The sequence below is a fragment of the Homo sapiens genome, chromosome 1 (assembly GCF_000001405.40).
Source record: "Homo sapiens chromosome 1, GRCh38.p14 Primary Assembly".
NCBI classification, from domain to species: Eukaryota; Metazoa; Chordata; class Mammalia; order Primates; family Hominidae; genus Homo; species Homo sapiens.
The window spans coordinates 160075907-160091052 of NC_000001.11; the positions used below are offsets into that span (position 1 = coordinate 160075907).

At 51.4% G+C, this 15146-nt stretch overlaps 1 protein-coding gene across 5 annotated transcripts, besides 1 other annotated feature; it reads left to right on the forward strand.

Annotated features, from left to right (window-relative positions):
• Nucleotides 1-5631: 5631 nt before the first annotated feature.
• KCNJ9 (potassium inwardly rectifying channel subfamily J member 9) lies at nt 5632-14657 on the forward strand. 5 transcript variants are annotated; one of them, XM_047419848.1, is made up of 4 exons: nt 5632-5791; nt 6893-6989; nt 7222-8974; nt 11580-14657. In XM_047419848.1, the coding sequence occupies exons 3-4, from the start codon at nt 7954-7956 to the stop codon at nt 11909-11911; spliced, it is 1353 nt and encodes a 450-aa protein (XP_047275804.1). In that variant the 5' UTR covers nt 5632-5791; nt 6893-6989; nt 7222-7953; the 3' UTR covers nt 11912-14657. The 5 variants fall into 5 exon arrangements, with proteins under 5 accessions (XP_047275804.1, XP_047275806.1, XP_047275800.1 ...); XM_047419850.1 differs by having other exon boundaries at nt 5632-7329; nt 8011-8974; XM_047419844.1 differs by having other exon boundaries at nt 5632-6989.
• Nucleotides 8692-9222: an enhancer, noted in NCBI's record as "H3K27ac-H3K4me1 hESC enhancer chr1:160054388-160054918 (GRCh37/hg19 assembly coordinates)". NCBI's record gives its function as "activates a minimal SCP1, AML or CMV promoter by ChIP-STARR-seq in primed H9 embryonic stem cells {active_cell/tissue: H9 hESC(primed)}" and the evidence as "EXISTENCE:reporter gene assay evidence [ECO:0000049][PMID:30033119]".

The following is a 15146-nucleotide window of genomic DNA, read 5'->3' on the forward strand; positions in this document are numbered from 1 at the left end:
GCTTGTCTCAGAATAATGCCAGAGGGAATTTGCACGTTTTAAACACAATCTTGCCAACCAGAGGCTATGACCCCTGAGTACATGTTGGTATGAAAAATTCCCCAGAATTACAACATCCAATGTCCACCATGAAACATGACAGAGGAAACTTCTCTTTTTGAGGACCCCTCTCTCTTCTTTCAGTTTCCCAACTTGCGTCTTCCTTATTCTCCTCCATTTCTCCTTTCAGACTCACTGCTTCCAGCTTTGGCCTCATCTCTACTTTTACTTCATTTATAATGGGGCAGAGGCTACCTCAGAGCAGAGGAGGAGGAGAGTTGGGGTGTGTCACCTGTTTTAGAAAGAATCCACAAGTGGGCAGCAGTCTGAGGGGCTTGCGCTGGGCAAAGCAGATGTGGACAGAGGGAATCAGGAAAGCTTTGGGTTGGGAGGCATGATAGAGACTCAGAATAGTTAGTATTTAACAAGTCAGGGGAAGTGGCTAGAAAGAACAGAGACACTGGCATGGCTCACCACAGGATTCAGGATTCCAAGTGGCGTTTTGGTGCTCACATCCCACAGTGCTGAACAAATTCCATTAGTAGTGGAGCATCTCATAGCTGAATGACTCAGGCCGCAGAGGAGAAATCCAAGAGAAGGACTGAGCTACATTCCCCTAGTCACTAACGAATCATTATGTAAGTAGATCACCCCCTTTAAATAAATGCAATATACACAAACCCACATTTATAAGACATAATTTAGGGAATAGTTAGTTACCTACTAAAGAATTCTTTCCTTTAAAAAAGAAAAACATGGCCAGGCACGGTGGCTCATGCCTGTAATCCCAGCACTTTGGGAAGCCAAGGTGGGTGGATCACCTAAGGTCAGGAGTTCAAGACCAGCCTGGCCAACATGGTGAAACCCCATCTCTACTGAAAATACAAAAAAAAAAAAAAAATTAGCCAGGCATAGTGGTGTGTGCCTGTAATCTCAGCTACTCAGGAGGGCGAGGCAAGAGAATCACTTGAATCCGGGCGGTGGGGGTTGCAGTGAGCGGAGATCGCGCCACTGCACTCCAGCCTGGGCAACAGAGCGGAACTCTGTCTCAAAAAGGAATAAAAAAAAAGGAAAAAAGAAAAAAACAAATTTCTCTAACTAGGGACTTCTAGTACCTTTCCAGTTGGGTCCAATTGATAGAAATTCCATTAACATCCAATGCACTGTGATAGGAGGGAGGCAACTGGGAATAAAGAAACACGAGGAATCTCGAGTCGGGTGGCCTGAGTCTTAGTCCTGACTATGTTCTTGGGACCTATTCCTACCTGTAAAGTAAGGGCTAATCCTGTACCACCTCTAACCGTCATATAACTTTTAAATCTTAGCCTATCTCTACCCAGTCCTATAAAGCAAGATAGAACTCTGTGTGAAGGCTTCTGATCCTCCTGCTCTGCTGAAAGTAGCCAGAAAGGCAGCAAGCTCCTCAGCCTCAGGAACCCAGCCTGAGGCAAGGGGCTGGCTGAAATTGCCTCCGTCTGGCCTGGAGCTGTGCTCTGCTTCTCCCCATTTCACTCTAATCTTCAGCTTCAGTCATTTGCCACATCTACTCCTTCAACCATATCTTTCCTCTGCTCTGAGTTTTCTAGAGCCCCATCCCCCTTGAATTTATACAAATTTTTGCAATCAACCAGATTGGCCTCCCTGCTCCACTAAACTCATATCCTCAACTGTCTGCTGTCTTCCCCATCATGCTTCCTCTTCCACTTGCCAGATTTTGCACAAGATGTCTCATGATCTTGTCCAGGGAAGCCTCCCCAGTTTGGCTGATCTCAGGGCTGCCACAAAGGCACCTGCTGATGGGGCAAGTTGAGGACTGAACTGCATTCAGCTTGCCAATTCCTGCACCCAGCTCAGAGCTGTGTCTGCTGGAGGAAGGGAACCTTTTATTTTCTCCCAAAAGTATCACCTGTTCCCTGTTCTCCAAGTGACAGGCCACAGTAGGCTCTTTTTAAGCTCTTTTCCTATTTTGCACCACGGTTCCTTTTTTTTTTTTTTTTTTTTTTTTTTTTTTGAGACAAGGTCTCACTCTGTTGTCCAGGCTGGAGTGCAGTGGCGCAATCACGGCTCACTGCAGCCTTGAGCTCCCAGGCTCAGGTGATCCTCCCACCTCAACCTCCAAGGTGGCTGGGACCACATGCACATACCACTACACCCATCTAATTTTGTATTTTTTGTAGAGACAGGGTTTCGCCATGTTGCCCAGGCTGGTCTCCATCTCCTGGGTTCAAGCGATCCGTGTACCTCAGCCTCCCAAAGTGCTGGGATTATAGGTTCGAGCCACCGTGCCAAGCCAAAAGCTAGAATCTTGTCTATGCTTTTGTGTCCTGGTGCCTGGGAAAACTTTTTTTCTCCTGCCTCAGTTCAGCTCAGTGATAAATAAGGAACTGAGGTTAGATAACAGGTAAAGTCTAGGACCTGCAGGATGAGTGAATCAGGTGAGGGAGTGGTAGTCTTCTTCCTTGTCAGCCAGGCTAGGTTCAGGGGCACCTGGACTGAGGCGAGGGGCTGGCTGAAATTGCCTTGTGGAGGGCCCTGCCAGTGATGCCCCCTCCAGCAAATAGGGCCAGCTCTATGCAAATGTGTTCTTGCCCAGGAGTTTGGTTTCTTCTCTCTGAGCTCCTGGCACAGTGGAACCAATGTGAGCAGCTGCTTGGCAGGACAGAGAAGGGCAGGCTAGCAGTCCCAAAGCTCGGGTGACAGGACCAGGCCCAGGAGACGGGGATGTTGACTGGGGCTTTAACAGCACTCTTGATGCCAATCTCGGGCTGAAAACTCGATATTTCCACTTGGAACAACAAGAATCACCAGCAAGAGAGCTGAGGAGAGGGCAGTATACCGGGGGCGCCCCCTGCAGGCCTCACAGGGTGGTGCCAGAACAGAGGAAGGTGGCACAGGCAGGGTGGGGCTTTCAGGACATCCCTGAGATGATGGTGATGACAGTGACAATGATGATGACCATGAAGAAGACAATGAGGAGGAGGAAGAGGAAGACAGTAGCTAGCATTTACTGAGTACTAACAATGTGTCAGGCATTGCCTTATGTAGTCTTCATGACAACCCTCTAAGAGATGAATAATATGGTTTTCTTTTTTTTAGATGAAGAATCTGAGGTTTAACGGGTTAAATAATTGCTCAGGTTCACCCAGCTAGTAGTGGACAGAGGTGGGATTTGAACCCAAGTCATTGCCTCCTGAGCTTATATTATCCAGTACCGAATTTCCCACCTTGCCAGGTCATTCCAGGAGCTTCTAGCCCTCCGTGTCCATCTCTATGTCTTCCTGCTCCTCTAGCTCATATTTTCTTGATCCAAATTTAAAGGATCTGGATAAGAATAGATCCATATCTGGGATATAATAATACTGATAACAACAGCAACAACACTTTGCGTTTGTAAACCACTTTCTTCTCTTCATTATTTCCCTGGGGAAAAATAAACAATAAGATATTTCTGTTTCTCCAAATTTTGTTCTGATTTTTATCAGTGTTCCTGAAGCTATTTCAATATAGTCATGATCAATTTCTAAGAATATTTTTAGGTTCTGCTTTTTTATGTAACAGTGTGTTATATACACATTCACATATTTAAACACAGCAATTATTATGGCTTTACAGTAACCCATGATATTAATATTCCACAGATATTACATTACTGAGGCACACTAGGCTAAGGCTGACAACACCAAATGCTGGCAGGAATGTGGAGCAACAGGAACAGGAATTCGTGGCTGATGGGAATGCAAAATGGTACAGCTACTTTGGAAGAAAGTGTGGCAGTTTCCTAAAAAACTAAACATACTCTTACCATACGATCCAGGAATCATGCTCCTTGGTATCTACCCAAAGGAGATGAAAACTTACGTCCACATGAAAATCTGCCGATGGATGTTTATAGCAGCTGTATTCATCATGGCCAAATCTTGAAAGCAACCGAGATGTCCTTCAGTAGGTAAATAGATAAATAAACCATGGCCATCCTGAAATGGAATATTATTCAGTGCCAAAAAGAAATGAACTACAAAGCCATGAAAAGACATGGAGGAACCTTAAATTTACATTACTAAGTGAAAGAAGCCAATTTGAAATGGCTACATATTGTACAATTCCAACGACATGACATTCTGGAAAAGGAAAATTATGGAAACAGGAAAAAGAGCAGTTGTTGCCAGGGGTTAGGGAAGGGGGATTGACTAGGCAGAGCATAGAGGACTTTTACAGCAATGAGACTATAATGGTGGATACACATCATTATATATTTGTCCAAACCCACAGAGTGTACAACACCAAAAGTGAACCCTAATGTCAGCTATGGACTTTGGGCGATTATGATGTCAATGTAGCTTCATCACTTGTAACAAATGTGCCATTCTGGTGGATGTGTGGGGACAGGGGGCATACGGAAAATCTCTATAACTTTCCTCTCAGTTTTGCTCTGAATCTAAAACTACCCTTTAAGAAGTCTTCTTTTAAAACAATTTACAAAGCATGAGGTGATACAGATGTGGGAGTTTGGCTCCTGTCTCTGCCCAACTCTGTGACATTCGATAAATTACTTAACATGTCTCTGTTTCAGTTTCCTCATCTATAACTGGGAAAAATAACACCTGTCTTATAGAGTTGCCATGGGGATGACATGAGGCATGTGTCTCGTTCATATCCCATGCTCAGTGAATTAGTAGCAGCAGCCACTGTGTGTTTGTGTGTCTTTATCCCTCCTGGGTTAATGAGCTCCTTGTGGGCAGGGACTCACCCATTCTGTAACCACCCCATCTAACACACTGCCTGGCACTTGGGCTCCGCAGAAGTTTGCCGAGTGAATACTTAGTAAGCCCTAACCTAGGCTTTTCTCTCTGGTGGACATTTGGGTTGTTTCTAGGGTTTTTGCTATGAATAAAACACATTTCAAAGCCCTTTGTGGTTTTTTTGGTTTTTGTTTGTTTGTTTTTTCTTCGTTTGATCTGCTGACTCTGTGAAGCAGGCAGAAAGGGGATATTTGCTCTTGTCCACACCCTGGTACAGATGGAATAACTGTGGCTCAGGGAAGTGAAGTGACTCCTATGGGACACAGTGCAAATCAGTGGCAATAATTAGAACCCCTGACCCTGCCTCCCTTCCTTTAGTAGATCTATTTTCCTTCTAGCTACCGCCTTCTGGATCCATGGCCTCTCCAAAACTAGACCATGATGGTCAGCCTGACCTGAGAGCAGCACCTGCACGCAGAGACCCATGTTGAAGGTGGTGAGCTGCCAGCTACCAGATGGCCCTCTGAAACCCCAGGGAACCTAGCACCTTATTCTCAAATACATGAGGGCTTGTATTTTCCCCCAGGAAGGAGCTTCTTAGGAAAGAGCCAGCGTGCCAGCTTTGTTTTTCTTTCTTCTTCTTTTTTTTTTTTTCCTATGAGGGGGTGAGGAGCCAAGCTCTGAGTTGTCCAGGAGGAGGGACTTTGGCTAAAAATAGCTATGGCGTGTGGTTTGGATCAACCCCTAGTGGTACCCAGGACTGGGGAGGGGAGGGGGATGCTCTGGAGCTGTCGCCAGACTGGTTGCCGTGGAAACAAGAGAGGAGCAGGGGAGCCTGGGAAGTAGGGATGACACAGATAGCAAGTCCTAGTCAGAGCTGCCGCTACATTTAGGAGAAACAGCGGTGTCTGCGGCTCCCACCCTTCGGGGGGCCCGTGGGGGGGGCGGTGTCAGGGGCATGGACGCCACCCCCCAGGGGTCTCTGCTGCCGGCTACTCTCCTCTCCACGTGCTGTGAGTTGAGTTGCGGGGGACTTGGGGTTTGGGCCCCTATTTCCAAGGCAAGTGGGGGTTTGGGAGGAGCTGGTTCTTGGGGGAGTTTTCACCAGGTCTCTCCTTCCAAAAAATGAGCCCCCTTACTCCCCAGCTCTCTAGAGGGAGGAAGAGGGGCCCAGGAAAAGTGGTATTGCAATCTTCTGCAAAGGGGTCATAGCATGCACAAGAAATGAGGAGTAGGTTGGAGGAACTGAAATTCTTGGAGGGAAGATGGAGAAATCAAGTCCTTGATCTTGAGATAGAGGTAACAATTTCACACTTTTCCTTCCCCTGAGAAAAGTGCAGTCCCCCACTCAGGAAGACAGGATGTGGGACACATTCAAAATAAGGTTTACCTAGATCCCTGGGGCAATGGAGAGTGAGAGAGTTCTGGGGGTGATCCGACATCGGGGTTCCTTCCCCATCCCTGGGCAGAGAGATCTGTCTAGGCAAGCCGACTGGGGGTCAGATTACCTAAGACCCTGAGAGAACATCTGGAAGCCCACCTGGGACTAAAGCTAGGATAATGGGAGCAGGGTCGTTTTCTGCATGACCTGGGGTCTCTGAGCCAGTCAATGCTTACTCTTCCTGAGGACATCTGAGCTTCAGGGAAGGAAAAGGAAGCCCATTGTTGGGGGCAGGGGAAACCCTAATCTTCCATTGCCATGGGGCTCTTGGACCCTGTGTCCCCTGACTCCATGGACAATAAATGCAGGGGGTGCCCCTAAGCTCAAAGCCATTTCATTTTGATTTCTCTTCCTACCTTCTCTACCCCAAGACACACAAACACACACACACACACCCTCTCCAGAGTGCTGACTGCAGAGGACCTCACCCCAGAACATAAGATGCTGGAGTGCTAGGTTTAGAGTCACATACCCAGGCAGTTTCTCCCCAGGACCTGGTCAACCATCCAGGCCATCTGTGGTTCCTATGGCACACTCCTCCATCCCCCACCCACTAGCCAGCCCACGTTTCCGTGGAGTGGGAGGAGAGGATCATTCCCAGGAAAGAGAAGGGAAGGTGGAAGAGTCCCAAATCCTATTCTAAACCTTTCCCTGTATGGTCCATATCTCCTAGAGGACCCTGGGTGCTTTGGGGAAGGGCTCTGGACCTCTCTCAGAGCAGATTGCAGCTCAGAGAGCTCCTCAGAGGCAAGCATGTGAAGAAAAATCAGGTGGGCTTCGCTTGGAATGTGGGCTTTGGGGCATATGGCAGGTGGGGGCGGGGCTGGTGTTAGGATAGTCCATGGGAAGTAAGAGGCTGGGGGAAAATATAACTAGAGGGAGTGGGGAAATAAATGTGGGTGCTTAGTGCTTCACCTGATCTGATTCCATGTCTCTCATGAAGAATAGGATCCCAGAGGGATACGAGCCTAACTCTTTATAACTCTGGGCTTCCTTTCCCAGGCTTCTGTGTTGGGATCTTCCAGTTCCCCTCCCCATTTGCAGGCTGTCTCCACTAGGAGAAAAAACCCAAGGGAAATGAGGCTGGCCCAAGAGCAGCAGTGATCGTGGGTAGGTCTCAGGGAGGATTTCTAGTGGGAATTTCCTAATGTTCCACCCTTGTGCACTGGAGGGTTTCCACTGACTTTCCACAGCTTTCATTTCTTTCTCGTTTGTAAGCATGTTGAGGGGAGGGAATGGAGCGGAGTGAGTGAGGTCCAAGGAGGGAAGAATGAGAAAGACTGTGTATCAGTCTTGGGGTGAACTTCAAAACAGCCTGCGAGGAGAGCCATTGGTGGCTGCACTGGCTACAGCTGGGGAAGGGATGGTGGAAGTCCTTAGGGCAGGGAGGGCTCCATTACCCGCCTGCCCCCCTCCCCAAAAAGCCCCCAGTCTATTGATTTCAGGAAATCACTAGGGGGATCTGGGCCTGGGTCTTTGGCCCCGGGGCTGCCCCTGAGGTGCTGCACACCCCAGCTGGAGGTGATGGCACCAAAATATCTGGTACCTCCTTCCCCTGAAAATCATCGTGGAACTTGCACAGTTCTATCCAGTTCAGGTACATCATTCCATTTGACCCTCACAACTTTCTGAGCCTGGGGGGCAGTTAGGGCTGAATGTGTTATTCCCAGAAATAGAGGCCAGGCAACACGAAGGGACTCGCCCAGGGCCCCCCAGGGCTCGGTGCTGGCCCTGATGCCCCGTGCCTCCCCATCTCCCGAGGGGCCACTCATTCGGCAAACCTTTATTAAGCCCCTCCAGGACCCCCGACGCCGCCTAGGCGCCCAGCGACGCGCGGCAGGTGGCAGCAGCTCGGGCCCCCGCCGCACTCCAGGCGCCCGCAGCGCTCGCCCTGACGCGGCCGCCATGGCGCAGGAGAACGCGGCCTTCTCGCCCGGGCAGGAGGAGCCGCCGCGGCGCCGCGGCCGCCAGCGCTACGTGGAGAAGGATGGCCGGTGCAACGTGCAGCAGGGCAACGTGCGCGAGACATACCGCTACCTGACGGACCTGTTCACCACGCTGGTGGACCTGCAGTGGCGCCTCAGCCTGTTGTTCTTCGTCCTGGCCTACGCGCTCACCTGGCTCTTCTTCGGCGCCATCTGGTGGCTGATCGCCTACGGCCGCGGCGACCTGGAGCACCTGGAGGACACCGCGTGGACGCCGTGCGTCAACAACCTCAACGGCTTCGTGGCCGCCTTCCTCTTCTCCATCGAGACCGAGACCACCATCGGCTACGGGCACCGCGTCATCACCGACCAGTGCCCCGAGGGCATCGTGCTGCTGCTGCTGCAGGCCATCCTGGGCTCCATGGTGAACGCCTTCATGGTGGGCTGCATGTTCGTCAAGATCTCGCAGCCCAACAAGCGCGCAGCCACGCTCGTCTTCTCCTCGCACGCCGTGGTGTCGCTGCGCGACGGGCGCCTCTGCCTCATGTTCCGCGTGGGCGACTTGCGCTCCTCACACATAGTGGAGGCCTCCATCCGCGCCAAGCTCATCCGCTCGCGCCAGACGCTGGAGGGCGAGTTCATCCCGCTGCACCAGACCGACCTCAGCGTGGGCTTCGACACGGGAGACGACCGCCTCTTCCTCGTCTCGCCGCTGGTTATCAGCCACGAGATCGACGCCGCCAGCCCCTTCTGGGAGGCGTCGCGCCGTGCCCTCGAGAGGGACGACTTCGAGATCGTCGTTATCCTCGAGGGCATGGTGGAAGCCACGGGTGCGAGCAGGCCTGGGGAGGGGAGCGGGGTTGGCAGAGGGTGGGCGGGACCGAGGAAGGCAGGGGCGAGACTAGGGGCCAGGGGAGCTGGGGAGGATGGATGGAGGGGCTGGTGGAGGATGAGACAGTGAGGTGAGACAGGGGTCGGAGGCGGGAGTGGAACCGAGCAACGCCGCAGAAGGCCAAGAGAAAGCTTGGAGGAATTCTCCGAAATGGCACTGGCGTGGGGCCCTGGGCCCAGAGGAATGTGTCACTTGGAATAGGGACAGTAATAATAGCTAGTGCTCGCCCAGTATTCACCCTGTGTCATGCGCAGTTCCAAAGCACTTTCTACCTCTGAGTCGATTTAATCCTAACAAGAACCCTCTGAAGGTAACTTCTTGTTATTGTGCTCACTTTTTAGAGATGAGATTGCTCCAATGAGAAATTAAGGAAGTTGTCCACTTTCCTAAGCCAATAAGTGGCCATGCCTGGATTGGACACAGGCAATGTGGCTTCAATGTTTAGTGGTCCCGAGTTGGAAGGAGGGGTTAGGTTCAGGGGTTTTCTCACTGCAGTCAGGTTCAGGCCCCTGGAATTTGACGGTGAAGGTTTTCCATTGCCTGAGTTATTTCTAGGCCGGATCTTGAGGGGAGTTTAATACCTAGTCTCACTTGTACCTCGGTTTCCCAATTCATCCATTTCCACTGACAAGGGATATAGATGATGTTACCTTTTCTAGCTCTTTTCCAAAAGGAACTGGCAACTCATCTGTGATGTCAATAAGTCCAACCCAGACCTACACAGTGAAGGCTTTGGGAGCAGGTGAAAAAAGACCAGTGTTACAGGAGTCGCAAAGGAGGTCACTTAGGACTTGAGATCTAGAGGATAGATGAGGATGAGGAAACTGCGGGTGGAGGACCAAAGGCCCACTAGGGGGCGCCGCAGTCCCTCCTCTGACGCCAGAGCTGCTGATGCTCCCTGCCGGCTTCGCTGACAAGCTGGTGCCTTCAGATCCTTTCCCTGGCCCCTTTAGGCTGAGACTCCGCTTCACACCCCAACCCCAGCTCCGCATCACTGTTCCCATTCCTGCTTCACCCCGACTCTTTCCTCTTCCCCCACTCACCCCGTTCCCTTTCCTCTCTCTCCAGCTGTCACTCCTTTTCTGCCAGTATCTCAGGCAGGCCCCTCACCCTCCAGGGAAGTTGCTGCCCGGCCCTCTTTTCTCTTTGTACCCCCAGCCCTGCCCTCTCCTCCTCGAAGCCCTTCTCTCCCCAGTGTCCCTTATGCCTCTTTCTCTTCTCTCCCACTGGATACTTTCTATTCCAACTTCACCGAGGAATACCAATGTCTCAGCGCCAGGCTTTCCGAGTTGACAGCCACTCTCCGGTTAGCTAATGTTCACTCTTCTGTTTCCCCTTGTTCCGAGATGGATATGGGTTGGGGGCAAGACCCTGTGGCAGAAAGGAGAATGACCTGCCCTGAGGGGTGCACCAGCCCAACAGGAAGATAGGACACAAGCCCCGGGCAGGGAGGACCAGGACAGAGGAGATGAGGATAGGAATCTGTCTGTTTTTCTAGAGAGATAAAGCTGGAAAGGATGGTAATATTTTGGGTGAGACAGTCAGGATTCAAAACGCTTTTGAAAAGCAAGAATAATGAGCCAAAACCCAGCAAGATGACATTTAAAATGAATAAATATAAAATTCTACATTTAGGCTTTAAAAAAATCACTTATGTAAGCACAGCATGGAAGAGCACTGGTGAAAAAAGAACTGGGAGTTTTAGTTGGCTACAGTCTTGATGTCGTAGCAATGTGATGCAGCCTCCAAAATGATTATGTAATGTTATCCTGGGCCCTATTAGTGAAAGCATCATGGCCAGAAGAGAGAGATGGTGCGCGCTCTCTTATGCACGGAGCAGGCCACAGTTGGAAAATTTACTATACTCAAAATGCTTAAAGGGCCCTCCTTGGCCATTCTGGCTTGTAATCAAAAAAGTAGAGTTCTGGAAAACCAGGTCAAATGAGGAATCGTGGAGGAAGCCAGGGATGTTAAGTCAAGAGAGAAAACATGAGGGAATCTGAGACTCCTGTTTTCAGATACTCAGAGGACTGTGAAGTGGGAGGGGAATGAAGCCAAGAGTTGGAAATCCCAGGGTACAGGTTTTAGCTCTGTATAAAGAACAACCCAACTATTAGAGCTATCATACAAAGGAGTGGGCCCTTTATGAAGTGGTGAGCTATCAATCCTGGGAGGTAATCAAGTATAAGCTAGATGCCCATTGTTAGAAATGCTCCTTTGGGGAGCCCTGTATGGAGTGAGAAGTTGGACTAGAGGATCCCTAAGGTTAGTTTCAAGGTTAAGCTTTTTTTGGTTGGCATCACCAAATGACAGGAGGGGAAAAAAGAGCTGGACATTAAGAGGAGTTGGGGCAAATGGAGAAGACACGAGGGAGCTGGGTAAGAACAGGAGCTAGGGAGGGGGGGAAATGGACTGGACCAAAGGGAGGTGGGAGCCCTTAGGAAGGAATAGAAGGGAGGGTGCTGGGAGTAGGGTTGTGGAATGAGAAGAGGAGAGGGAAGCCTGGAGCTGAGATTCCCCCTGACCGGTGCCCCTCCTCCCAGGAATGACATGCCAAGCTCGGAGCTCCTACCTGGTAGACGAGGTGCTGTGGGGCCACCGCTTCACGTCAGTGCTGACTCTGGAGGACGGCTTCTACGAAGTGGACTATGCCAGCTTTCACGAGACTTTTGAGGTGCCCACACCTTCGTGCAGTGCTCGAGAGCTGGCAGAGGCTGCCGCCCGCCTTGATGCCCATCTCTACTGGTCCATCCCCAGCCGGCTGGATGAGAAGGTGGAGGAGGAGGGGGCGGGGGAGGGGGCGGGTGGGGAAGCTGGGGCTGACAAGGAGCAGAATGGCTGCCTGCCACCCCCAGAGAGTGAGTCCAAGGTGTGACCAGCTTCCTCCAGACCCCTGTGGCAGACCGGGGGCCAGACACAGATACATGGGGAACTGCATATCGGAGGTGGTGGAGGAGGAGGAGGAGGAGGAAGGCAAAGCCCCTGGAAATGTGCTAAAGTTGGAAAGTCCCCGTCCCCCAGAACCTCAAGTCTAGAAACCAGTATGGAAGGGAGGGGTCCTGATTTCAGGGAAATGGAGGGTGGGGCCGGGTGAAAATGCCAGTCTGTGTTTGACCTTCACATTTGTTCATGAGTGGATGGATGGACAGAATGATGGACTTTTGGGGGTTGGATGGGAAGATGGTAGCAGATAAAGACAGCTGACAGATACATAGATGGACCAGTAGACAACTGGTCCACTCAGGGCTGCCACTAACCTGTAGAACACCCCTGTGCAAATTTTAAAAAGGAACCCTTTTCCTCCAGACAGATACAGCCCCAAACCAGGGTGCATGGCTTGGGGAGCAGAGTATAGGATGGATTGCAGTCCCCAGTCACCTCTTCTGCCAGCCTCCCCACATATGGCACAACTGTCTAATGACACGGTAGGCCAAGCTGAAGTGAAGGAGAAAGGAGCCGGACCAAGATGGGCACATGAGGAGGGTGCCCTCCTAGCTCCACCCTCACCAGGATGAAGGCGTGCAAGGGGCTCAGCAAGGTGTGAATGACCTTAGTCCGCAAGTTCAGGGAAGCAGGCAGAGCGGGGAGGTGCCTGAGCTGGGGCCTGGAGAGGGGCCTGGGAAAGGAAAACCAGGGATAGCTATTTTCTTACAGTGGAGTGAGATCTTACAGGTATCAGGCACAGGCAGGAAGAGAGAGAGAGAGGTTCTGGGGAGGAAGGGCCAGGAGAGAGATCTAGAAAGTGGGTTCACTAGAGCTGGGAAACAGGGAGCCCCTAGGAAAGCAGTGTGTCCTTGGGGCACAGTCATTCACATCACTGATTGGGTGCCATGTGGAGTGGACATTCAAAAACCTGGTTCCTGTCCTCAAAATAAGGGGCACCTGGGAAAACAGAGGAATCTACCTGTGGTGACTGAACGAGGGATAATTCAAACTGACAACCTGTGCAGTCCCGTGGAGGGTAGGGGAGTGTGGGTGATCAGAAGGCTGGGGCCAGTGTAAGGCATAGGGAATATGTAAGTCAGGAGTTAGAAATCTCCAGTGTGCGTTGGAATCACCTGGAGGGCTTGGTAAAACACAGATTTTTGGGCTCCACTCCAAGGGTTTCTGACCCAAGAGGTGGGGACCAAAACCATGCATTCCTAAGAAGTCCCCAGGTCATGCTGCTGTTGCTGGACTGAGGACCACACTTTGAGAACCTGTGCTCTAAGTGAATACTTGGAAGTCGTTTCAGGACATGGGGCATAGAAACTGAGGAGTAGCTGAGAGGAAGATGAAGAGAAGCTGAGAAGAAGCTGAGGATCCTCACAGGAGCAGACAGAGAAATGTGAAGGGTGGGGTTTTATGTGTGGGAAAGGGACCCGAAGCCCAGGCTGAAGAGTTTAACTTTGGGCCCAGAAACTCAACCATCAATGGAAACAGGGCAGTGACAAGTGGAGGGGGTGTCTGGAAGCTGAGCAGGCCCGACAGAGAGATGAAGCCATCAGAAGGACTTGAGGGGGCTCCTGGGGAGGTCGGGGGGAGGTGGAGCAGGAAGAGTTTTAGGGGCAAAGGACAGAACCCCTTGTAGGACTGGAGGCAAGATTGAATGTGGGAGAAAATCGGAGAGAAGCGATAGGAGTTAGAACATCTGGATGTGTCTGCAGCCTGCTGTCAGCCCAATTGGGCCAGGGGGTCCCAAAGACGCATATTCTCACCCCACCTCCACCTGCTTCCTGATCACATCCCAGTCACCAGCGGCAGCTTCCTGGATAGTGAGGGAGAACAACTGCAAGTTGAGAGAGGCAGAGGGGTGGAAGGGACCTGAAGCTGGCCTGGAGAAAAGCATAGGCCCAGGAGAGCCTGCCCTGGGACAGCGCCTGTCTCCCACACAGCAGCACTGGCCCAGCAAGGACCTCCTCCCTTGGCCCTGGCCACATCCCACTCCTGCCCTTTCATAAGCCCCCTGGGGAAAGCACTCCAGTCTTCTCTGTTCCAGGCTGGGCAGATAGGGTCCTATGGGGCACAGCCAGGGTCCTATGGGCATAGCCAGGGCCCTATGGGTCCTCTGGAAGCAAGAAAGGGGGCCATGGAAGCAGCCCAGACAGCTGGGGTTCACTCAGAGAGGACCCAAGTCCCAGTCCCTTCCTTTCAGTCAAAACACGGATATCTTTGCCTCAGGTCACAGGGCCACTGGGGCCCTGTCATCAAAGATGAGATTCCTGAAGCCTGGCATTGACTGGTCCCCTAAGAACAGATGTTGGGATGGAGAATGGGGATTCATTTGGGTTTCAGTAAAACAGGGGGGTCTGGACAAGAGCGGGTGGGCTACTTGGTATCCACACACACGCACTCACACAGGAGCCAACCCATTGCAGCTGAACAAGCAGAGAAACTCAGTCTGGAAAGGCCCCTCCTGCCTGCTGAAGTCACTGAGACCCTGCCACACCTCTCCTCGCCACTGTCACCACTCAGGGCACCACTGTACAGTGCAACAAGTCAGGAGACCTAGGTCCTACTCCTGACACTTGCTAATTAGCTCTATGACTCTGGGCAAATCGCATATCTGGGCCTCAGTTTCCTCATCTGTAAAAATGACAGCAAACTCGTAATGCTCAATAAATGTTTAAATAACAACTGAAGGAGGCCTGCCAGATGCCTCTTAAGGTGCCGTGCAGGTAAGAATTTTAGGATCAGAGAATCCTTAGGCAAGAAAATTCATGAAACTCCTGGGGCACTGGAGGAGGGGTGAAGCTGAAGGGTGGGAGGGAGGAGACCCCAGGGTAGGTACAGGCAGGTGAAGCGGGTATATGCAGGTGTAGTGGGTATATGCGGGTAGAGGGTATATGCAGGTACAGCGAGTACATGTGGGTGCAATGGCTCTGTGGACACACAGGCCCTCCCCTGACTGCCTGTTGTCCCAGCCTGAGTATCAGTTGTGTTCTGAGGCTTCTATTCTGCTGCTATGGGTCAGAAGGAACAACAATTTCAGCCCCAGGGCCTAGTGGGAGGAGTCAGGTCCAAGACTAGCCTGACCAGGAGAATGAGACGTGGGAAGAGTTGGGGAAAGTCTGGGAAGCTCAGAAAAGGCACTGCCCCTGGAGGCCCATGCCCTTTAACATGGGAGAAGC

Excerpts from the sequence above, each read along its gene's own strand:
- KCNJ9 (XM_047419844.1), top strand. The coding sequence starts at position 7,954 with ATGCCCCGTGCCTCCCCATCTCCCGAGGGGCCACTCATTCGGCAAACC. Across the intron at positions 8,975-11,579 it reads GGGCATGGTGGAAGCCACGG|GAATGACATGCCAAGCTCGG; the intron begins GTGCGAGCAGGC and ends CCCTCCTCCCAG.